A 26,485-nucleotide genomic window follows, 5' to 3' on the forward strand; every position below is an offset into this window, starting at 1 on the left:
ATATAAAAGAGAATTATAATACTTTAATAAAAAATAGGAAGATTAGTTTGGCTGAAGAGTCACTTGCTTCAGTAAAATTCCACTCTTTAAAAATCACTTCAATTCTTGTTCTACTTTAACTGTTTTCGTGAAATCATTTTCTCTCAGCCTTAACCATACTACCTATATCTAGTTTATTTCTGCTGGATTATCCTAACATAACATGAACATATTTTAAGTCAGAAGCCATATCGTGTCTTCCTTTTTATCACTTCTAAAAGCAGTATGTATACAATGAGCATTCAGATTTCTCCTTTAATGGATCACCTGGTTATGTCATAACTTTAGTTATGATAAAGCAATGGTTTAATGTTCTCTGTAATACCTTCCATGTACTTTTAAACCTTAATCCCTTTTGTAGTTGTCTTTTCTAAGACAAATTATGCCACCCAATGTAATTGTACTTTTAAAAATTAATTTTAAAACAGGTGTAACTGCATTTTGCCAATATTTATTAAATCTAGGAGTTATGACTTTGCCATAAAGTTACATTTCTTCCTGTTTTCTATTAAAAAATCTAAATATTAAATAAATTAATTTTTATAGTTTTTGTATTATTTTAAACATATCTCCCGTCATTGTCATTTAACCTTTATTATATTCTTGACCTTTTCCCTCTTATGTATAATAAAACTTTAGGTACATTTGACATTTGTAGACTATTTGGTTTAGCTTTTGTTATAAATGTTCACAATAGATTTCAAACTTTTTATTTACTTTTAAGTAAACTTAAAGGACAAATCATTTTTAATTAGAGAGACATATTTCAGATATTAATCTTATCCATCTCCTTCTTTTAACTTGTAACAAGAATGCCCCACATATGCCATAGCTGCTGTCACTGTAACTTTCTATGCCCACGTTCGGTGCTGCTGACCATCCATCATACTCCCAGATTAGGGCCAAATTTGGCCTTAAATTCTTTTCTGTAATGTGACTGAGAAGAGATAATCAATGAATATTATTTTTTATTTTAAACTGATGTTTATAAAACAGTTTTCTAAGGAATCATCTGGAAAGCTTAGACATAAAATACATTTCTAGTCAGCTCCCTAGAAGTTTTGATTGAATATGAATGGGAATCTGTATTTTAATAAAAATCTCTAATTTATTGAAGAAGTCAGATCAACAATTATTTAAGGTCCACACTTAGGAATAGCTGGTCTGAAACATTCAAATTAATGATCATGTCTTTTTATTTTACTTATTTGTTGATATATTTATACACTCATTTGGTTTATTATTTGGGTTTATTCATTCAAGTAATGTTACAGGCTAAATGTTTATGTCCCTCCAAAATTCTCATGTTGAAATCCTAACCCCAGTGTGACTGTATTTGGAGATGGGGCCTCAAAGGAAGTAATGAATGTTACATGAGGTCATAAGGGTGGAGCCCTCATCCTACAGGGTTAGTTTACTTACAGAAAGAGACAGTAAAGAGCTTGCTCACTCCCTCTCTTCTCACTCACACACGCTGGAGGAAGGGCCACATGAGAACAAAGTGAGAAGGTTGCCTTTTGCTACCCAGAAAGAGAACATTCACCAGAAATCAACTATGCTGCCACCTTGATCTTGAACTTCTAGCCTCCAAACTGTTAGAAAATACCTTTCCATTGCTTAACTCATTCAGTCAGATGTATACCACATTTTGTTAGGGTGGCCTGAGCAAACTAATATAAGTAACAAATTCAGTAGTAATTTCTTTCTATTATTATTTTTTTTTAATTACCCTATTTATATTAAAGCATCTTATTTCCAAAAAAAAAAAAATACATTTTTCCTTCATTTGGTGGTCTGGAAAGATGAAACATATGAAACAAAATAAAATAAAATAAAATGGAAAAAAAATGTGTCTGTCAGATGTTAGGCAAGAAAATGGAATCATTAATCACAATGGGAATTAGAGATTTGTTATATGAATTAGGCCTTATTCATATGTAGGGAGATTTTGAAAGAAAATTGAAATGGGAACATCAGCAAATCAGAGAAAGACTCACTAACCAGTTCTTGTATAATATTGCTGCATGAATAAGACCTCAGAGGAAAGTACGAGAATTCAATAAATCTGCAACTGAAGAGCAATCGGTAAGCGGGGATTCAGAAAGAGATCTACAGAAATTTCCAGGTCCTGGAAATCTTTTGCCCCTTTGTAACTACCTCTCCAATGGGCCTCCAGCCATGCACTGAGTGGTTGACCCGGGGCCACAGGGGCCAGCACGATTAGCAGTCAAGTTGGGTTCCATATCTAAGTGGAGTTTAGATATGGAGATCACCCAAAGGCACCCCTTCAAATGTTCATGACCAGGTTCCACTGTGAGAACCTCCCAACCTTACAGGCTGCTGCTTTTACTTTGCCTTTCACACCTCAGGTAAATTTTACCATTAGCTAACTATACTCCAAAACCTAGGGAAGGGGATTCTGAGAAACATTTATTTATTTATTTATTTTTAAATTTTATTATTATTATACTTTAAGTTTTAGAGTACATGTGCACAACGTGCAGGTTTGTTACATGTTAGACCTAAAACCATAAAAACCCTAGAAGAAAACCTTGGCAATACCATTTAGGACATAGGCATGGGCAAGGACTTCATGTCTAAAACACCAAAAGCAATGGCAACAAAAGCCAAAATTGACAAATGGGATCTAATTAAACTAAAGAGCTTCTGCACAGCAAAAGAAACTACCATCAGAGTGAACAGGCAACCTACAGAATGGGAGAAAATTTTTGTAACCTACTCATCTGACAAAGGGCTAATATCCAGAATCTCAAATGAACTCAAACAAATTCACAAGAAAAAAACAAACAACCCCATCAAAAAGTGGGTGAAGGATATGAACACGCTTCTCAAAAGAAGACATTTATGCGCCAAAAAACACGTGAAAAAATGCTCATCATCACTGGCCATCAGAGAAATGCAAATCAAAACCACAATGAGATACCATCTCACACCAGTTAGAATGGTAATCATTAAAAAGGTGCTGGAGAGGATGTGGAGAAATAGGAACACTTTTACACTGTTGGTGGGACTGCACCCAACAGTGGAAGTTCAGCCATTGTGGAAGACAGTGTAGCGATTCCTCAGGGATCTAGAACTAGAAATACCATTTGACCCAGCCATCCCGAGAAACATTTCTAATAGCCTTAGCAAAGGTGACATAAAGCAAACCAGCATGGAACAAAGAAAACTGCAATTCAGCATTCTCTCCAGGTAAAGGTTAATTTTCTCCTCTGATTCTTCACAGTAAAATAGAATGTGATAATCAAGTACTAGTTTGGGAATCATAAAAATGGGGGATAATGCTATTTATTCTTCTGATAAATATATACCACAATGCAAGTCTGTCAACATTTTCAGGTTAAATATTTTCTGTAAATGAAAAGAGCCTATTAAAATAATCATGGCTGAGGTTCTTTCCTGGACAAAACTCTGTTATACTCTTTATTATTGTACTTTGCTTCTTTGTTGTCCATAAGCAAAGAAAATCTAAAAGCATGGTAGGCTGTTGGAGTCTTTAATATATTAAAGAGGTCTGAGTCAATCAAGTACAATATGCATTGTTTATCCTTGCATCTTGTATAAAACATGCTACTTAAAGCCTTACATTATCCAGCTTTATCCCAGAAAAGATTGGCTCTACTAACTCATTCAGGCTTCTGTTCCTCTGCAATACCTAGATCATCTCTGATTATGATATTTCATCAATATACACCCAATTTTTGAAGCTGTATTTGCAAAAGTCATTACAATGTAGCTGAGTTTAGAAAGTGAGATTTTAATTTTCAAAATTGATGTTAGAGTAAAATGAAGAATCACATGCTTTCTCTTAAAATGTCACATTGTGTCAAATAAAATAATGTTTTTTTAATTAAAGGATATTATTGCTATAAGAGATAATAGACAAATGTCTCTTACAGATGAACCCCCTTAACTTGGGTGAAGATAATCTCCCCTCAAAAAGCTGGAACCATTCCACCCTCTCTTGAATATGTGCTCTGGTTAGTGACTGGCTTTGAAAGAGTAGAGTACAAAAAGGGGATGGGGTAAAAGGTTACCACGGTTCCAGGGGAGAAAGCTGGCAAACACTGCCTTCGACAGGTAATTGTTAGCATCATTAATGATGAGCCCTGTTGATAACATGTATTTCCATATAATGTGCTAAATTTAGTACTTGACCCCATAGTCTTCCTCCCAAACCACATAACCCATATCTAATTACAAGAAAAAAAGATCAGAAAAATCCCAACTGAGTGACATTGCACAAAATACCTGACCAGTACAAATTAAAACTGTCAAGGTCATCAAGAACAAGGAAATTCTGAGAAACTGGTATAGCCAAGAGGAGCCTAAGGAGACATAATGATGAAAAATAATGTGTCCTAGAAGGAATTCTGGAACATAATGAAAACAGGAGGAAAAACTAGCAAAACTGTTGTAGAAAATGGCATATGGTTAATAGCAACACACCAAATTTGGCTACTTAGTTGAGACATAGGTACCAGAAAAGTTATATAAGATGTTGAAAAAATGAGAAACTGGTTAGGAAAATATGGGAACTTTGTACTGTCTTTGCAACTTTTCTATAAATCTAAACCTATTCTTAAAAGGTTATGAAAATCATTAGTAGGTTAGGATTGTAATTATTTTATAGATTCATTCACTCAGCAAATATTGAATACTTGCATTTACACACACACATATAAATTTGATTCTTCTCTTAAAACCCATTGTTTATTGATATTAAGCCTATATTTTATAGTAGTAATTAATTGGATATAATAATGGTTTTTATTTTAGATAGGACAAGGGCCGTCTAGTTCACCAGAGTTCCCCCCAATCCATTTATCTCATTTGTAACCTATAATCTGAGTAAAGAGACAATATGTTAAAATAAAAGTTGTAATAAAAAATAAATAAAGCCAAGTATCATAAAAACCATAAAAGAGTGATGTCATGTGAATAAATAAATACTAACTTCTTCACATTTCAATATTCTGATTGTGTTGAATTTATTCTTCAAAGAAAGTTCATTCTCTGATATGAATAAAAGGGTGGCAGGAAGATACATGGGAATAGAGCAGGATAGACTAAGATGATAACAAGTAGAAGAGCTTGGGAATTAGGAAGCTAGCTACAGCTAAGTCATAATAATATTTTGAATCTTGGCATATCACCAGAATCATCTGAGAATTTGTTAAAAAAAATAAAAAAATACATAGATTCTTTAGGCCATTGTTTCTTAAAGTGAAGTCCCATCACTAGCAGTGTTGGCATCACTGGGGATGTTTGAGAAATGCAAATTCTTGAGCCCCATTTCAGGCCAACTGAATAAAAAACTCTGGAGATGAAACCCAGAAATGTGTGTTATCACAAATACTTTAGGTAATTCTTATTTCAGGCTAAAATAGGAAAACCACTTTCCAATAGATTTCCTTTAGTTGTTTTTTTTTTTTTTTTTTTTTGAGACAAGAGTCTCTCTCTGTCTCCCAGGCTGGAGTGCAGTGGCGCGATCTCGGCTCACTGCAAGCTCCGCCTCCCGGGTTCACGCCGTTCTCCTGCCTCAGCCTCCCCAGCAGCTGGGACTACAGGCACACGCCGCCACGCCCGGCTAATTTTTGTATTTTTAGTAGAGACGGGGTTTCCCCGTGATAGCCAGGATGGTCTCGATTTTCTGACCTTGTGATCCGCCCACCTCGGCTTCCCAAAGTGCTGGGATTACAGGCATGAGCCACCGTGCCTGGCCTGCTTTAGTTATCTTAAACAGCATTACATTTTATTTACCATTCAGGGTGAATCTGATGAAGATTGTGGGAAACACTGCCTATTTAAAGATGAAAATACTATGGAGATATATGCGCACCCAGTGTCCTACTGGTTAACCCAGAAAATGTAACGATTTGACCTTTGATTATTCAATGAGTTTACTTTTGATTGTGATTAAAGAAAAAGAAAGCATACCTACCTACAGTGTTAATCATTTGATGTTGATTCTGGAGTACTCTGGTCAATGGCTACCTCTATATACTTCCATTTTTAAAAATTACCTCATATTTTTGGCATTGTGCTAATGGTTTTGTTTGATTCATAGTGACATTTACGGGGCCAGCATTATTATTTCCATTTGAGAACTGAGAAAAATAAGAATGAGAGAGTTTAAATGACCTGATGAACTTGCATTTTAGAAATAAGCTTATTGTGTTCTTCACTCTACAACCTTGGCTCTTTCAATCATTCAATCCAGATCTGTTTTAACACATCAAATATTTGCTAGTCACTGGAAAATGTGTTTGGGCTGCAAGATAAGACCAAAAAATGAATGAAACAAGGATATTTTTACTATAATTCAAATTATAATCTGCTGTTGTATTCTAATAATTTTAATAATCATATATATTGGGAGTTTTTTTACCACATGAATTTCCAAATTCAGATATTATAGAAATGACAATCTACTTTTAAATCCAAGACAGGATCAGATCATCTTTTCCGTGGTTGCGTCTCCTTTAGCATACAAATCTGGGTTAGTTGGCCTGTGATTGCTCAGAGATAATTGAGAAATTATAGTAATGATTTTTCAGTCAGGTAAAGAAATCACCATTTTGTTGTAAGTGAACTGGCATTCTTTCATTTCTTATGTCATCTAGTGTATGAACAAAAAATAATATATTTGGGCAAATGTAAATACTAGTTTTGGAAAATATGTATTGAAACTACAACCTGACAACAATTTGTACCGTGGAAGAGGAAAAACTTATCCTCTTAGGTTCTGTAGCTGGGTCTAAAAACTAAACTAATATAGGACAGATTAAGAAGAGAAAATAATACAAATTTTATGGAATATTTTTAAGTGCTCAGCAGAGACATCACAAGAAAAATGGAAAACAAAAGAAGCAGTTAAGACTGATAACATATATTTTTAACAACAACAAGAAAAAAAATGGTAACTTTGTGTGGGGGTGTGAAAAGCCACATGGATTTGGTCTAGAAGCAGTAAATTCTGGGAAAGAAACCAGAAAATATATGGAAAAACTAATGAAAGATAAAGGTTGTTTTAGTAGGTTTGTTTGTACAGATACATTTGTGTATCTATTCCTAGTGTCTGGTGATGAGAATGTGCTCTTCCTGATACAGGGTGAGCATTTTCCTAGTGGGAAATTTTATGACCTGCTTTTAGCTAGAGGGGTCAGAGACCCCTTTCCTGCATCAGCTATTTTTCAAATGACTTCTCCTCAAAATAATCAATATTCCTAAGTATCATATTGTTTTGGGTCGTGTTCTGAACTCCTTCACCTCCCCTGTCTGAAACTTCCCAAGAAATTTTACGAATTAAAAAACTGAGTTGGTGGATGTGGAAAGGAGAAATAGGTTGGTAGCAGAGTAGTTAAAGATCCACAAAGGGACAAGAGAACACAGATTAGTATAAGAATAAGTAAGCGGAAAAAGACCACAACAAAGCACACGTCTCCAAATCCCATTAAAGCAAACTCCCAAACTTGAGAATGGATAAATTCAATAAATTGGTTGAGCCTCATTAATCTGACAGAGTGTTTATCTTCTTTTTTTAAAAAGTGTACATTAGACACTCTTTATCCTGTCCAATTCACTTGGAAGCAGCATTTTTTGACAATGATTGCACAATTTTCCCTCCTGCTTGAGGGGCAGTCAGTGTACCCAGGACATGACAATTTTGAAGTACAAGAGCATTCAACTTAAATTCTGATTAAAATGCTGCCAACGTTCTCATAGTGGTGTGAAATCTTGTTCTAATATCATGGAAATATTTCGGATTTTTTTTCACACCATAAATTCTAAAAGTTAGGAGTAAAGAAATAACGTCCTCAACACTGAAAATTACTTAGAGTGGTGATATACAAGAGAGTTTTCTGTTCTGTCTCATGTATTACGTTTATATGGCAATAACTTATAAACAAAGGAGCCCAGGCTTGTAATTTGACTAGCATTGAAGGTGGAGTACCAGATGAAGGAAGGAACCAAGTACCCAATTCTACATTGTTCTGACCATTTATGTGGGAGTGCTTTATATTCCTTGTCACCACAGAAGATAAAATGACCAGTGTTGTTCATGGGCAAGGTCAGAGTGGAGCCTGCAATCCCACAGTCCAGTGTGCTTCAACCATGAATACAATATTGCCTTGCTATGTCAGCTAGGAAGGGTCTTGTACCATCCATGTCTGTTTTAAATGCAAAGAAAAAAATTTCCTTCTAATATTTTTACCTGAGCAAAGGACAATCCTTGAGCTTCCACAGTGGTTTTACTTCAGTCACTTAACTCACTTGAAGAGGTAGACTGACATTGTTTTCCTGATTGTGGATGCGATTCCCTTTTATTCATCTTCTGTAGTTGATCCACAAAGTGCTCACATTGACAGGAGCAAAAGCTAACTCAGGTTGTTTCTAGATGTTGATGTAACCAGCAATCTTATTGACTAGCTAGCATGGCCAGGGGTTGAAAAAGTGGGGTAAGGCAGTGTCAAGTCTGTGCCTGACTTGTTGAGAAGACAGTAAGGGTTAACAGAAGTAAGGCAAAGTTTGAAAGTGAGCCCATATTGAAGGATCAGAGGAAGAGTAGGATAGATTGAAAAAAAGCAATCTTCATTTGGTCTTTTAATAAGTGGGCAACAAAGGAAGGTTTTATTTAAACCAAATAAATAAATACTTTTTGTTTTTTAGGATGGAGAGAGACTTCAAAAGAGGGAAATTTCTTGATCTGTGATTTTAGGAATAGCAGTCTGCTTTTTTATTTTTTTGACTTCAGAGCCTGGGAATAGCTATGAGTAGTTGGCCATTCTTGCATTGCTATAAAGAAATACTCATGTCTGGGCTTAATTTGTCTCACATTTCTGCATGCTGTACCGAAGTGTGGTGCCAGTGTCTGCTTCCGGTGAGGGCCTCAGGAAGCTTACATTCATGACAGAAGGTGAAGAGGGAGCAGGTGTGTCACACAGCAAGTGTAGGAGCAAGAGAGAAGAGGGAGGAAGTGCCATATTATTTTAAATGGCTGGATCTTACATGAACTACCAGAACAAGAACTCACGCATTGCTAAAGAGATGACGCTAAGCCATTCATGCGGGATCCACCTCCATGATCCAAATACCTCCCCCCAGGCCCCACAACCAGCATTGGGAATTGCATTTCAAGATGAGATTTGGAGAGGACAAATAGCCAAACAACCATATAACTGTGGAAATTCCTATTTTGAGCTCACCTAAAAGGATGGTCTTCCAATTGCCCTGGTAGTAATTACCTTGGTCTAGTTTAGTGTGGCTTTTATGAAACCAGGAGAATTTTTCTCTCATTTTGACGGCAGTGTTGGAGTCAGCAGTCCTTTGCAAAGCCCTTTTCAGTGTTTTCGGTACTGCGCAAGGTGACAATGTATGCTTTCTTCTAAAACCCTTTAGGCACGGCCAACCTCCTGCCTTAAAAGAATGGCAAGTTGATGGAGGCCACACATTTTTTTTCACCTGTTGATAATGTTTCAAATATACCTGTTAGCTCTTATATATAGCTAGCCATAGCATCGAATTGTTCACTTAAGTCCCCATCGTGTTCTCTCAATTCAGGAATGGAGGTTTAGAGATGCCAATAGGCATAGGGAGACTCAAAATTATTTTACAAGGGGTTTATCTGTGTGTGCTATTTGGAATATTACAGATTTTTATAAAGGCCAGGAGTATGGCTTCTGGCTATTTAAGTGTATTTGAGTCTAGATTTTTATATTCCATTTGCCCTGGTGTTTGAGGATAGTACAGAATACCCAGTGTTAATGAGAACCCCAAAGTTATTGTAAGAAAGTAGTTTATTTGTGCCATAAAATGAAATATCTGATCTGATTCAATCCACGAAGAAATGCCCAAACGAGGAATAATCTAAGTTAATTGTCTTTACTATTGTAGTAGAATTAGTATGAGTAATCACCAAACAGTGAGAGGAACCTAAATATGGTGGTAAATCTATAAAATCCATCTGGAGTGGTACTAGGAGCAGCGTAGACCTTGGAGGATTCTCTGAGGTTTGCTAATTTCCTTGAGAAATGTGAGATTTATAAGTAATGCTTCGGAAATAACTTGGTCATGAATGTCATGATTTTGTGGATGTCAGGGCAGAACCAATTGTCTTTTAGTCCTTTGTATCCATTTGTGTTTTTCATACTGGTACAGTTGTTTGATAATTAATAAAATTAACCAGGGTTAAAGGCAGGCTTATAACTTGGGTGGAGAAAGTTTAAGGAAGTCTGTTTTCAATTTCATATTTAGTAGCCTTGTCGGTTCTGCTGCTCCTTAGAGATACAGTATTAGTCTTCTTAGTGTAGGCAGGTCAGTGAACAACATAGCAATTTTAGTAGGAAGGTCGCATGCAATCAGGCAGCAATTATATGCCCTTTGGCAGTAAGAGTACCTTCAGAGGTTAAGAATTTGTGGAATTTCCAGACTGTGGCACCACATGACAGACTCCCAAAGCATATCTGGAGTCATTGTAAATAGTGGCAGCTTTGCCCTTTGGCAGTGTGCAATCTTTAATAAGAGATATGAGGTCAACAGCTCTAGCTGATTTTACAGTGGGCAAAGAGTATGCCTCAAGTGTTTCATGGGAGGAAACTATGGTGTAGGCAGTTATGATGTTCCCCTACAAATTCCATTTACAGAAGCCATCACAAAATACAAATAAGTCTGGGTTGTCTAAGAGCTCCTCTGGTGGCTTTAAAATCATTTCTATAGATGCAAGGTAATCATGTAGAATGAAGTGTAGCTAACCATCATCAGAGAAAGATAGCAAAGTAACTGCATTTAAAGAGCTACAGTGACATAAGATGATGGAGATATTGGCTAATAGGGCCTATTCATCAGTGATCTGCTGCCATGTAGAGAGTTACTATGTCTTATGAACTTAGAGCAAACACAGCATGGAGAACATAGAGGTGAATGGAAGTGTCTCATGTAAGAATACTGGCTTTGTCAATTAGGGCAGCACCTGCTGCTATCACACACAGGCATGGGGCATGCCTGATGCCACGGGTCCAATTGACATGAGAAATATGATACAGGACATGTATGAGAGGCAAAAGTTTTGCCCTGCAACAATCACATGAGTTTTATGACAATATAGGTGAAAAGGTTTGTCAAAATTAAGTAAACCACGATGCGGGCAATGCTAATTTTAAGACTTCAATGGATGTAATATGTCCCCAAAGGCCAGGGAATGAGGTGTCAAATAGTATCTGGGAGGAAGGCATATAAGCATTTAGCAAAGGCTGAAAAATTACTAATCCATTGATAACAACAGCCGGGTGCTCCTAGAAATTTTTGTAACTGCTTTTTTTGTTTGTTTTGGAGAGACAGATGGACAAAATTGACTCAAAGCATTTTGTGGGGAGGTTTTGAGTGCTTGCAGATATATCATAGTCTAAGTAGGTTATAATCATTTACACACATTGAAATTTATATTAGGAGATTTTATGGCTTTTTTCAGTTAGAACCTTTGGGAGAATGAGGGAGCCTAAAAGAGCACCCTGCTTAGTTTGGTTATAAAATAAGAGGTCAATAATATGCTGAAAAAGAACGGAGCTTTGGGTAAAGGTTACAGAGTCTGCGTTAGCTTTAAGGATTTGGAGAAATATTGAAGGGGACTTGCAATATCCCTGGAGCATCCAAGTCCATGTTAATTGTCTTTTTCTAAACATAAATGCAAAGAGGAATCACTAGTCAGGTGCAATAGAATTGAAAAGACACCTGAGCAGGGGTCAATTACTGTAAAGCCGACTGTGTTAGCAGAAATTGAGGTAAGAATAGTGGTTGGATTAGGCACTATGAGAAATTACAAAAGGGTTTATAATTCTTGGATGTTGTGCAATCAATAGATTTGGTTTTCTTCCAAATAAAACCTTTTTTTTTTCTACTGACAAGATTAGGGTATTGCAAAGTGAGTGAGTAAAGAGCAGCCTACCGTAAGACAGTCTATTATACATTCACTTCCTCATTATGTGTCTCAAGAAAGGGAGTATTGCTCTATTTATGAGAAAGGTTTATTGCATATTCTTACTGTGACCCACTTACAAAATATCACAAGAAATTTGTGATGTCATGTTCTCAATTTTAAAAATATCATTTAAAAGTCTCTTAATGAAATGTCTAAAGCTATATTTATAACAAAGTGTTTTCAAAATTTTGAAAGATATATTTAATAACATTTTGAATTATAAAGTGAGGTCCAGGTCGGGCGCAGTGGCTCATGCCTGTAATCCCAGCACGTTGGGAGGCTGAGGCGGGCGTATCACGAGATCAGGAGATCGAGACATCCTGGCTAACAGGGTGAAACCCCATCTCTACTAAACAATACAAAAAATTAGCCAGGCATGGTGGCGGGCACCTGTAATCCCAGAACTTTGGGAGGCCGAGGGGGGCGGATCACGAGGTCAGGAGATCGAGACCATCCTGGCTAACACGGTGAAAACCCGTCTCTACTAAAAATACAAAAAATTAGCTGGGTGTGGTGGCGGGTGCCTGTAGTCCCAGCTGAGGCAGGCTGAGGCAGGAGAATGGCGTGAACCCGGGAGGCGGGGCTTGCAGTGAGCTGATATTGTGCCACTGCACTCCAGCCTGGGCGACAGAGTGAGACTCCATCTCAAATAATAATAATAATAATAATAATAATATAAATAAAAAGTAAAAATAAAGTGAGGTCAAATTGTAGACACTCTCATTCATAGGAAATTTACAAATGGTGGATCGTTATCTATACAGCCATAGTGTATTTAATCAATACTCTTATACACATTTCTATGGGCATGTATGTTTAATATAAATTACTTGATGCTTCCAAGTTGTTTATCATAGTGGTTATGCCAATGCCTAAGAGTTTTGGTTTCTTAACATCCTTGCCAATATTTGCTTTTTAATAGTTTGCTAATTTTATGTACATAAAATGACAATTAGTTTCAATATGAATTATCCTGATGATTTGTAAGCTTGAGCAGCTTTCCCCACATTTATTCACCACACATGTATTATATTCTCAGGATTGTTATTCTATTGGTTAATAGTAGAAACTCTATAGTCATACACACAAGGTATAGACCCCCAGTTGCACATTAGCTTTATAAACTTGAGGATATCACTTAAATTCTCTGTTCTTAAGTTTCTTCATCTGTAAAATGAGGATAGTAATAATGCCTGTATCACAGGGATATTCTGAGGGCATAAAGCATTTAGAATAGAGTCTAGCACAAAATCACCACTTAAAATGTTAGTTATGATTATATTCCTACACGTTGGAAGAGCTTTTTATTTTCAATTAATAACACTTCTTATACAAGTTAATGTATAAGTCAATAAAGCATTCTTAGTTATAGAAAGTGAAAACATTTTGTCATATTCTGTGGACTTTATATTTACATGTTACATAGTTTCTATTCTGTAGAAAAAATTTCTAATTTAGTCATATATCGGCTTTTGTGCTTAATTTCAGAATTTTTTTTTCAAAATTTCAGGGTGTAATGAGAATTTCATGTTTTTCTGCTAAAAGTGAAAAAAATGATTTATTTTTTGTCCAGATTATGTAAACGAGATAAGGTATTTACAAATAAATGGCAAAGTATTCTTGAATTATTATAAAAACTCGAACTTTCTCAAAATTTTGCAATGTATTTTCTGCAATGTAGGTAATTTATAGTATAAGCATGGGTATGTGTTCTGCCCATTCTGTCCACTAGTCAATTTATCTCTTACTTTGCTGTTACCATGTTATTGACTTGACAATTACTATCTAGTTAAGAGTCACCGTCTCTGATCACATCATTGCTTTCTTTCTTCAAAACTATCTTGAGTATTCTTGGACCTTTGATGTTCCATGTCAGTTTTCAAATTGGCTTCCAATTCCTACTGCCAAATTTACATAGGATTGGTAATTTCATTAGCTTAGATGTTATAGATTTTTAGGGAAAAAAAAGACACCATTATGATATTATCTTCCCTTCCATAACCAAAGAATTTTCTCCTTGTATTCAATTGTTTATTCTCCAGCAATATTTAGTAATATTCATAGAATTTATGTGCAGTATTTTTGGTTAAGTTTACTCATAGTTTATTTCTAATTTTGTTGGTAATACACATGGATTTTTAAAATGTTGTTCTTGCACCTGATAGCTTTATGTAAAACTGCAGACTGTGAGGAAATCATATTATATGTAAGAAAATAATTTTCACTTTTTCCCCACATTGTATATCCTTTCCCCCTCTTTTTCTTGATGTATTACAATGCACTATAAGCCTAGTGTAATTTTAGGTATAGTTGGTAATAAAAGCCACAGGTCTGGTCTGAAAAGCATAAAATACTCCAGATAGAATTTAATATATGTACTTTGTGAGGGTTTAAAAATTACCTGTTGAGTACAGTGTTCACTTCTTGGGTGATGGGTACACTAAAAGCCCAGACTTTACCATTAAGTAATATACGTATGTAAGAAATCTGCACATATACCCTGTAAATCAATAAAAAAAATAAGAACAGGAGAGTTTTTTTTAACATATTGGAAATTCTCAAGTAAAGAAGGAAAAAGGAGCCTGTCTAGAAGGTGCAAAAAAATAATTAGATAACACCTAGATATCAGAAACTTCTACTGGTCCAGGACTAAAATTCAAGAGGCTGCACCTGCAGTTGCTCTGTTGGAGACAGTTATAGTCTGTTCTGGATTTACCATAAAATTATTTTCTTAACTAGGGCTTGAATTGATACCTGTGCTTAGAATGCTAGCGTCTGAAATAACCTTCTCCTTGCTGTTCATAACTACCACAAACAGTTGCTAGTAGCCATGAGGAGGAGAAATTTCCTCTTTTCTTCCTGCCTTCTGATTTCCAACGACTGTTTCCATTAGGCAGAACTTAGGAAGTTCACTGGCAAGGGATTCTGGGAACTGTAATTTGTAGGTTTGAAACCCAGTAATACAGAGAAAAGAATATAGATAAGCTCCTTAAACTGAATGACAAATGATAATTTATTTATGACTTTGTTTTCAGGGTAAGGATATTCTCTTCTCTTCTGAGTTTATTATAAATCTCTTTAAGTCATGGATACATGGTGAATTGTAACAAACACTGACTTTTTTTCTATAAATCTTCAGATAATCAATTTTATTTTAAATTAATGTCCATATGATACATTACTTGAACAGATATTCTGATGTTACAACATCTTTTAACTCCTTAAATAAATTCACTTGGTAATGATGTATCATTTTTATACAATACTTTATTTGATTTGTCAATATTTTAATTCGTAATTGTGCATATAGTTCACAATTGAGACTAGTATATAAGTTATTTTTCTTTCACCAGTTTTCTCCCATGTGTGGATTAACAATTTGCTAGCATGCTAAAATATATTGGGATTCTTCCCCTATGTTATTATTCTCTGAAGTAGTTTTATCATACAGAAATATATATTTATTAAATTTTATGAATGGTATTTAAATTCTATGATCTCCATTATAATCAGTGAAATATTTGATGACCAAGTTAATTTCTTTAATCTTTTTGTTGTTTTACATATATATTATATGTGAGTTTAAATATATGATATGTGTGTGTATATGTGATATGTAATGACATACCATATATATACACACATACCTATGTTATATATGTGCACATAGAGATATATAATTTCCTCTTTAAAATGTCTTCTAATGCCTTGTCTATCATATTTATCAAAGAAAGAGGTTTTGTTTGTTGATCCAATCTGTTCCTTTTGTGATGTATTCTATATTATTTATTTATGCTATATTTTTATTATCACTGACATCTACTATATTTAGTTTTACTTTGTTGTCTTTGTTACTATTTTTAGTATATTCTTAGTTTATTATTTGTATTTCTTGTGTGTCTATGTGTGCTATTTAGAGCATTTAAAGCTCCAAATTGTCTGCTTAATACTGATTTAGGTATGTCCCACGATTTTTGATATGTAGCATATCCACTACCTTCCATCTAAACCCAGAAGTAATGCAGCATTACATTTTAATTTTTTAAGTATAGGGTTACCATCCCCTACTATATTTGTTGTTTAATTAATTTAAATGCAATATAGAAAATGTGACCTGTATTATATATTCTCTTTAATATTTTATTTTATGATCGTTTGAAAATATATTTCTGGTTCTTATTTAAAATACCTCATGTGTTGCTTGTTTACATATGTATATATATTTATCTATGGTGAATGTATATTCCAATTTTCCTTCAATAATGACTTATTGAGTAAACTCCTGTATTCAAAATGTTTAGGTTCCTTTTGAAGGGATATTTTGTACCCTATGTTATTATATTTTGAGGTTGGTTTCCAATCTCCCTCTGTCTCTTCTCTCACCCCTGCCCCTCTATGATTTTGCATTTTCCCTACAACCCCAGCTTTCATCTCTTTCATGTACCCCGGACATTACATCTTCCAGTTGGAGATCCGTAGCAGAGGATAGTATGGCTCAGCTTCTGGCCAGGAGCCTGTTTCTGTTTCTCCTCATTTGGCCCAGCAGTTTGCTAGAGGCTGTAGCTTTGCCTCTTTCAATAAGCAGCTAAGAGTTATCCGTTAATCAGACTCTGAGACTTAAGCCTGGCTTCAGGTCACTCATCTTGAATGAAACACATTTTTGTCCCATTGCTTATCTCTGATCCTAGAGTCCTCTCCTAGTTTCAATGCTATTGTCCCCATCGTATGTCTGTCTGTCTTATTTCATTTGTTCATGTTTGTGTTTTTGTTTGCTTTTTTTTCTAGTCCACATTGATATTTGAATTATTTGTTCATCTAACCATTCATTGTTATTTATGTAGCTATCGACCAAATAGGTCATTAGGGTTTTAACTTACTGTATTTTTGCACCAGAATTTTTTTGTATTATTTTTATAGTATTGTTTTTCTGCCACATTTTAGTATACTGGATATTGCGAATCATGATAATGTCATTCTGGAGAGATTCATCTACATATAAAAAGCTTTGGATTTAAAGTTTGAATGATTAACCTGGAATTAAAATAATGCCATGATCAAAATCTAAATTCTTTTTTTTTTTTTTTGAGATAGGGTCTCCCGTTGCCCAGTGATTCTCCTACCTCAGCCTCCCTAGTAGTGGAACTACAGGTGTTCACTACCACAGCCAGCTAGTGTTTTGTATTTTTCTTTAGAAGAGATGGGGTTTCACCATGTTTCCCAGGCTGGTCTTGAACTCCTGGACTCAAGCAACCTGCCTGCCTCGGCCTCCCAACATGCTGGGATTACAGGTGTAAGCCACCGTTCCTAGCCCTAAAATATAAATTCTAAGATATTATGTTATTTTAGATAGCCTTGAATATAGGGTTTCTTTGTTATAATTCTCAACTTACATCTTGGAGCGATCCTTACATAAATATCTAAACTGTATTTTTGCCCTGATGATTTTCATATTTTGAAAAATGTCTGCATTACTTTCTTCTTATCAACTATATGTAATTTTGAAATTTATCATAAGGTCCTAGAAAAATTTAGTGAGAATGTGAGGAATTCACTAGAATCTAAAGAATATCTTTTTATATATATATACTTTCTATATATATATACTTTATATATATTATAATATATAAATATACATATATAATACATATGTAATATATATTACATATATTATATATTATATATCTCTATATATAGTTTATATATAATATATAAAGTATACATAGACAGTATATATATATAAAGTATATATAGAGAGAGTATATATATATTCTTTAGATTTGAGTGAATTCCTCTCTCTATATATACTTTATATATATTATATATGATATATATATTTAATATATAATATATATAATATATACATACTTTATATATATATTATATATATACTTTCTTATGTCTCTAATTGTCCAAATATAGTGACACCACACTCTTTCATACATAATAATTTTAATCCTAAAGATTATAGTAGTTGTCTTTATTCTCATATTAAATATCATAGTTGTAAAAGCCATTGTCATGAGGTTTATAGTGACTTGAGGTCCGTTTGAAGATCCTTAGATAAGAAATGATGCTGAATGTGAACTTGGCTCATTGATTACAAGGGATATGAAAAATGTGAATTTAAACGTGTCTTAAAGACAAATGTGGAATTTTGAACTTTCTTAAGTTAAAGCATCAATTGACCAGTAGAATTCATTGCACAAAATTAATATACTACTTTTGAAGCCCTGCTTTGATTACCTTGGATACTACCCTACAACTTATATTATCAGCTTACTTCTTGCTATGTATCAAAAATGGACAGAATGTCACAAGTTCTATTATATTTTTGAAAATGAAAAAAAATCTTTGAATTGAAAATGAAAAATATTGATGATACAACTTTAACCCTATTTTTTGTTTCAGTAAGTCAGCATTTCCTTTAGTAAACAAGAATAAATTCCTGTTCTGCAAATCTTAATGAATATGTATTTTAACTAGATTTAAAATCCTGACCAGTATGTAAACAAAAGATGTTATCATTACATAAATGGTTACATAAGTAGTGTTGATTATGCTGGGTTAGCATCATAAATTCTTCCTTTCATTTTGCTTGTATGTGAATGTGTGACAAGTTTCAAAGAGTACCAGATCAGAGAGGATTTTAAAATCTTCATTTTTACCCAGAATTAACAGATAGTGTGAACTAGAGCGTGTGTCTATTTTCTCATCTAAGAAACGAACAACTACATTAAATATTACTAGTCTCTTTCTGCTTTATGTGTTCTATGTGTGTCTAAGCCTACTTCTGAATAAGAAAAAAAAAGATTCAAAACAATGACGTATTGGTGAATGCAATATATTTTCATAGAAGCCCAGCCTAGAGAAGTATGAAATGATGAAATAAAGAGGGGAATGGATTTTTAACTATCTCTTTAAATTAGCAGTAAGACTCTAGATATAACAATGGTTTTAGAAATCAGAATATAATATTGCAGAATGCACTTCTGACTGGAAGGCACATGACAGCAACAGTTGTGAATAAAATTCCTACACAGTCTACTACATTACAAAAGAATAACAGAAAATACTGCTAGAATTGCAAAATCTGTCTGCTCTAGTTAGAATTACAACCTAATTTAAATGAGTCCAGTGAACCTACAGAAGAAAGAATCCATTTTCATCAAAGTGGATTCAGCTTGTGGCATGCTGTGTGTGGTTGTGGCCGGAGTCAGAGCCCACTGGGACTGGCAGCCCCTGCCATCAGTGTCTGTCATGGAGCAGACATTTCTCTCTTTATATTATCAACCAGCTCCAGGCTCCTGGGCCGGTCAGGCTGCAGTGAAACGCTGACAGTGAACTGTTGCACAGAGAGACCTGTAAGAGGCTCTCACTCTGTATTTAAAGAGCCCAGGAGCTGCAGGAAGACAGTGTTCCTGCCTCTTCTAAGTGGCATGTATGAAGAGACATCTGATTTAGCAGCTCTGACAGCTCACAGGAAACTTGACCCAGACAGAAACAGAATGTGAAATAACAGGAGCTCTCATCCTTGAATTTAAAAAAGAGGAGTGGGGGACTAAGAATTCTGAGTGTCCCTGGTCGCAAGGCTTTGTTTGGTGAGTTAAATGCACACTTTCATTTAACTTACCAAAACACCATGTATGCTTATAGAATTTAAATATTGTATCATTAATCCTGTAGTAAATAGGTAGTTGTGAAGAAAAAAAAAATCTTTTATCATAGGAACTGAAGCAGCAATTAAAACACAGCAATAAAAACTGTACCCTAGAATTCTGCGACTTAGTTTCAAAATTTGTTTTGACCACTTAGCTGCGATGAGAACTTTGACAAGTTTTTAAAATTTTCTGTTCCTCTGTTTTCTTCATCTGAAAATATGCAGATAATGCTCATATTTTGTTGTAAGAGTCAAATAAGATCCTCTTAATTGCTTAGTCAATTATCTAATGTTTAGTAATGGCTCAGAAAATATTTAAAGTTATTTTCCATTTGTCATCAAAATCTATGCTCATTCTAAAATGTCACTTGACCTCCTGTATTTGAGTGTGCTGGTCATAATATCCATTGAAATATGCTTTTCAATGCTTCTATAATCTGCATATTTATGTATTTGTGGAAACCCAGTTTTACCTCTACTGATTAAGAGGTACTATTTGATGAGTTTTAAGTAATTCATTATTAAAAATGGAAAAATTAATATGTAGCTTTATAGTATCAGGAATTGTGACTAAAGAGCAACAAAGACACAGAAAATATTTTGTAAAAGTAAGAAAGATATGAGCTTTAAAAAAGTACAGAAACAGATTAAATGCTTCAAAAAAAAGATATATTTGTGTGTCAATAGCTGGAATGACTCACAGGTACCTTGAACTTAATGTATTGAAAAAAAAAGAACCAATATACTTCCCCACTTATACTGCAACTTGGCTCTTCAGTCTATTTTGTAATGGATTAATAGCCTATTAATATTAATCATCTGTTCTTATTGGAACCAAATCTTTGTGAATTACACAGCATTAGAAAAATATGTTTGAAAATGTTTGAAAAATATATTTAAATGTTTTCATACATTGAAAGTTTTTGTTCAACAATATTTAACTAATGCTTACCATGAGCATTCACTTTTTTTTAACTTTATAAATAACGTTGAACAAAAAGCAATTATTCTTCCCATAAGGAGTTTACAGTCATTGCAGAAAAAAGCAGATCTACACAGAATACAATGAAAAATTCTAAACACAATAACAATACAAAACAAAGCCAAAAAAGAAGCAGTGGAGATAACTGGAGATTCAAGAAAAACATCCAAGCATTATTTCTGCAGTCGGTAATACAGCTTCCCAAGATAATTACATTGAGATCATTCACATCTCCCCCAGTTCTTCAAACCCCTGTTCCAATGTTGCCTTCTCAAGTAATCCATGTAAAATTTTAACACTCCTCCAATGAGAAGAGGGTTGGGCCTACCTTATTAATTTTTCACACTAATGAAATAAGTTTTACTAATTATTAATTATAAATATGCATTATATAACATGGTATAAATTTTAATACATAACCTGGTTATTATTACTTATAAATAATTCGATTTATTATTAATACATATCAACAGCTGGTCTACTGCATGTTAACATATACATTTTTTTCTATCATACACTAGAATGAAGATCTGAAAAGGAAGAGATTATCTCCTCTTTAATGCTGTATCCCAAAGCCTAGAAGAACCAGAGACTTACTAGCTAATCAATAAATATTGCTGAGTAAATAAATGACAGACATTTGCATGCAGGCCTCAAGGAGCAGCTGAAGTGATAGAGGTAGAATGAGGCAATAAATTATTAGCAAAGAGAGCGGAGTATTTACAGGCAGCGATATACTAATGAACCTAAAAATTTGGAGAATATTTGGAAAAATAAAAGAGCTTGCATCCCTGGAATGCAACGAAAAGAAAAGTGCTCAAAAAGTGATAATATACACAGTGTCAATTTGTTCACTGCTTTTTTGGAATGTTTGAAATTTATTGTAAGTAGATCATTTATCCATTAGAGTGACTAAGTGTTTTAAGAGTATAGTTCTATAATCCCATTCAATTAGCTTTTATTTAATGGGTTCCTTCTGGTGGTGGACATTTGAGTTGTTTACAGTTATTAAGAATAAAACTACTATAAACATATATCAACAAGTCTGTGTGTGTACCTATATTACATTACTCTGGGATAATGAAATTGTAAAATAGTTGAGTCATACAATAAATATACTATATTTCTAAATTTATAAGAAATTTCCATAAAGTTCCCTAAAATAATCTCATTCCACATTTCTACCAGCATTATGTTAGGATTCCACATTTTTCCCATGCTCAGCAAACTTGGTAATTTTAGAATTTCTAGCTGGTGTGTAGTTACACATCATTATGGTTTTAATTTGCATTTTCTTAATGAGTAATGATGTGTTTATGCTTATTGGTTATTCATATATTTTCTTTTGTGAACTGTCTAAACAATTTTTTGCATATTTTAAGAGAAATGCGTATCTTCTATTACTGAGTTTTAACTGTTCTTCATACTTCCTAAACAGAGGTTTCTTTCAATCTTTGGCAATAAATCTGTGTGTGAATTAGAGAGAGTATTTGAAGTTTGGGACATTTTTATCTCTTGCTTCACAATTAATTCCCCCTGGGCTCTCTTGATTTTGCCTTGCACATGTATATAGTTTTCCAGATAGTCAGGGATGCATGAGGAGTTATATAGCTTTCTATGCCTCTCTAATTTCAAAGATTCCACTAATTTTTTGGCAGAATTATCACTGACTCAACCAAGATGCTAATTCCAGGCCAGCACAGTCATGGGTTTCCTCATTGTTTCTTACAGACTGTGCTTTATTTTCTGACAATGTCACCAGGCATGGGTATTTACCTTCTGCTGAAAATCAAATCTGCCCTCTTAGCAGTGAAGCTGCTTTTTATCCTTTTCCAGCCCCACTGTAGTAATATTAACAAATCAAACTTGGCAGGGTAGAGGTTTCGGGTTAAGGGAAGGGTAAATGGAATGGCTTCAGGCAAGAAGCCTACAGATTCCCACTGTTTTCCCCATTATTCAACAGTTTTTCTTGAATAAACACTTACCAACTTGTAACTTTGTACATTTCCAGGGATGTAAAATTGTGGAGGTTTTCTTGGCAATATTTGCCAGTTTTTAACTTGTATTCTTGGATGGGGGGAGACAATTTGCCAATATCTACTGTCTATTATAGCTAGAAATTAAAAGTCTACTTGATGTGTTTGATGCTATTTTAAATATTATTTTAAATTTTCTTTTTTGTTGTTGTTACTTTTATTAATGCTATTTAGAAATGCCATTAATTTTTAATAATGTAATATCAAGTAAGGTTGTTTAATTTAGTTTTTCATGCTAATATTTCTTTTGTAGGCTTTTCTAGATTGTGTACTTGCACAGTCATATGACCATGAGTAATGGCAAGGTTATTTCACTTTATTCAATCTCATTCATTTCCTTTTCTTGCATTTTAGACCATTTAACTTATCAAGTATGACTTTGAATTGAATTAGTGATAACAAGTATCTTTGTCACATTTTTGTTCTTAGAGGGAAATAATTAATACGTTATATCAAATTAAGAATGCCTTATTAGGGGAGTGTGAGGAAGATGGTGGATAGGAGACAGGGCTAATATACAGCTTCCACTTGAACAGAAAGAACAATGTGTGGAGACTCACACCATGAACTTTTGCTTGAAGAACCACTGCAGGAATATACCAGAAAAAAAAAAAAAAAAGAATTCACAAATCCTTTGAAAAAAGTGGCATACTGCTGCAAGTTTCATGAGACAGGAGAAAAATGTGAGTTCTAAAAGTGTGAGGGGGGAATCTACCTTTGAACACACATCCTCACTGGGAATCTAAAAATCCACATCATTGGAGAAGGATTTAATCTGTAATAGAGCTCAAGTGAATATAAAGAGCTGCACAAAATACAAAAGTAGAAGCAGCAGTGGGAAGAGTATTATAGTCATTCCCAGTCTCCAGCTTGAGACCAGGAAAGCCATCTCTGACTATACCTCACATGGACCCTCAGGGAAGGCAGCCAGCAGAATTCAAAAAAGGGTTCCAGGATAAAAGAAGTTTCCAACTGAAATTTGTAACAATTTCTACTGGGCACAATTTTTCTTGAGAAGAATCTGGAGCGTGAATGGGAATTACTTCAGATATGAATACAGGAGCCTCTGCCATCAGATCTGCCCAGTGTGGGCAGATGGGGAGGGTCAAGGCCTGAAATCCATGCTTGCTTTCTTAGTGGTGAAGCTTAAGGCCTGGGGCAAGGTCTAAGCAGGGGACTGCAGGAGCAAGACCAGCCTCGCCAACTGCGTGGGAACTGGGTGAGGACCTTTGCTCCTGGCTATCCCCCAGTTCTCTGGAAAACTATATGACACAGCAGAGACAGCCATAATCCCATCTGGAACATACCCCACTGGCCTGAGAACCACCCCCATAAGAGTGGCTGCAACAAGCCCCACTCAAGAAGAGTCTGAACCCAGACCCACCCAACCCTGCTACCATCTGATAGCCCTGGTAGCCAAACACAAAAGACATAAACTCTTTGGAGCTTTATGGCCCTGCCCATCACCTGAGAAACTAGATTACTTACCCTAACCAACTTAGTGCAAGTTTACATCCCTCTAATACTACCACAGCTGGTGCTCTCTTGAAGGCACCACCTCCTGGCAGGAGACCAACCAACTCAGGCCATCACAGCAATGCATGACAGAATAACGCTGCTCCCAGGAAAGAGAAAACAACAGCTAGTTCCACTGCCTGCAAAATCCTGGCTAACCAGAGTTCCTGAGTTTGTCCATGTGACAACGTCACTGCTAGCATAACAAGCTTTTGAGAAAGCCAGCATGCTAAACATTTCTACAACCAAGAATTCTCACAGAGTCTACTTCACTCTCCTGACACTTCCACCAGAGCAGGTGCTGATAACCACAGCTGGGAGACCTGAAGATGGATCACATCACAGGACTCTGCAGACATTCCCCAGCACCAGCCCAGAGTCTGATAACCCTGCTGGGTGGTCAGACCCAGAAAAGCAATAACAATCACTGCAGTCTGTCTCTCAGGAAGCCCCATTCCTAGAGGAAGGGGTAGAGCAACATATCAAGGGATCCCCCCTTGGGACAAAAGAATCTGAAGAGCAGGCTTTGAGTTCCAGATCTTTCTGCTGAAATAGTCTACCCAAATGAGAAGAAAATAGAAAAGTAATTCTGGTAATGTGACAAAACAGGGTCCGATAACACCCCCAAAAGATCACACTAGCTCCCCAGCAATGGATCTAAGCCAAGAAGAAATATCTGAATTGCCAGATATATATAGAAAGTTGATTATTAAGCTACTCAAGCAGATACCAGAGAAAGGTTAAAAAAGCAACTTAAAGAAATTAAGAGAAATACAGGATATGGATGAAAAATCCTCCAGAGAAATAGATATCATAAAGAAAAAAAAAATCACAACTTCTGGAGATAAAAGACACACTTAGAGAAATGTAAAGTGGACTGGAAAGTTTCGACAATAAACTAGAACAACAAGAAGAAAGAGCTTCAGAACTCAAAGACAAAGCTTCTGAATTAACCCAATCAGATGAAGACAAAGAAAAAGGAATCCACCCCCCACCAGAAAAAAAAGAACAAAGTCCCCAAGAAATTTGGGATTATGTGAAATGGCCAACCCTAAGAATAATTGGTTTTCCTGAAGAAGAAGAGAAATCTAAGATTTCTGTAAGTTTGGAAAACTTACTTGAAGGAATAATAGACGAAAACTTTCCTGGTCTTGCTAGAGAGATAGCCATCTAAATATAAGAAACTCACGGAACACCTGGAGAATTTACCACAAAAAGATCATCACCTTAGCACATAGTCCTCAGGTTATCTAATGTCAAAATGAAGGAAAGAATTTTAAGAGCAGTGAGAAAAAAGCATCAGTTTACCTGATTAACAGCGGATTTATCAGCAGAAAACTTACAAGCCAGAAGGGATTGGGGTCCTATCTTTAGCCTCCTGAAACAAAATAATTGCCAATTAAGAATTTTTTTCCAGCAAAATTAAGCTTTATAAATGAAGGAGCAATAGTCTTTTTAAGACAAACGAATGCTGAGAAAATTTGCCACTATCAAGCCAGCGCTACAATAACTGCTAAAAGGAGTTCTAAATCTTAAAACAAAACCATAAAATACACCAAAATAGGACCTCTTTAACCATAAATCTCACATGTTCTATAAAACAATAACACAATGAAAAAAATTAAAAAAAAGATATTAAAGCAACAATTAACATGATTAATAGAACGGTGCCTCACATCTCAATACTAACATTAAATGTAAATGGCTTAAATGCTCCACTTAAAAAATACAGAATGGTAGAATGGATGAAAATCCACCAACCAAGTATCTGCTAACTTCCAGTGTCTCACCTAACCCATAAGGACTCACACAAATTTAAGGTAAAGGCATGGTAAAAGATATTCCACATAAATGGAAACCTAAAGTAAGCAGGAGTAACTATTCTTATATCAGTCGAAACAGACTTTAAGGCAACAACGGTAAAAAAGATGAAGAGAGACATTATATAGTGATAAAAGCATTAGTTCAACAGGAAAATATCACAATTCTAAACATGTGTGCATTCACAATTCTAAACGTATGCATGTAACACTGGAGTCCACAAATTTTAAAACAATCACTAGTAGAGTTAAGAAATCAGATAGCAAAACAATAGTAGTGTGGAACATCAATACTCCACTGACAGCACTAGACGTTTCATCAAGTCAAATTTAACAAAAAACAATGGACTTAAACTACACCCTTGAAAAAAATGGACTCAACAGATATTTCCAGAACATTCTACCCAACAACTGAAGACTACACATGCTTTTCATCAG

The 26,485-nt window shown here is 34.9% G+C and overlaps 1 long non-coding RNA gene across 2 annotated transcripts in view; it reads left to right on the forward strand.

The window, feature by feature from the left end:
* The window catches only part of LOC105377183 (uncharacterized), a 39,119-nt gene that overhangs the window by 3,467 nt on the left and 9,167 nt on the right, over positions 1 to 26,485 (forward strand). Inside the window, exon 2 of one of the 2 annotated variants that reach the window (XR_941006.1) lies at positions 21,198 to 21,559. This is a non-coding gene — a long non-coding RNA (uncharacterized LOC105377183). Of the gene's footprint in view, positions 1 to 21,197; positions 21,711 to 26,485 lie in introns of those variants that run through there. The other variant, XR_941005.1, reaches the window with a different exon arrangement.

This window comes from Homo sapiens, chromosome 3 (genome assembly GCF_000001405.40).
Source record: "Homo sapiens chromosome 3, GRCh38.p14 Primary Assembly".
NCBI lineage: Eukaryota > Metazoa > Chordata > Mammalia > Primates > Hominidae > Homo > Homo sapiens.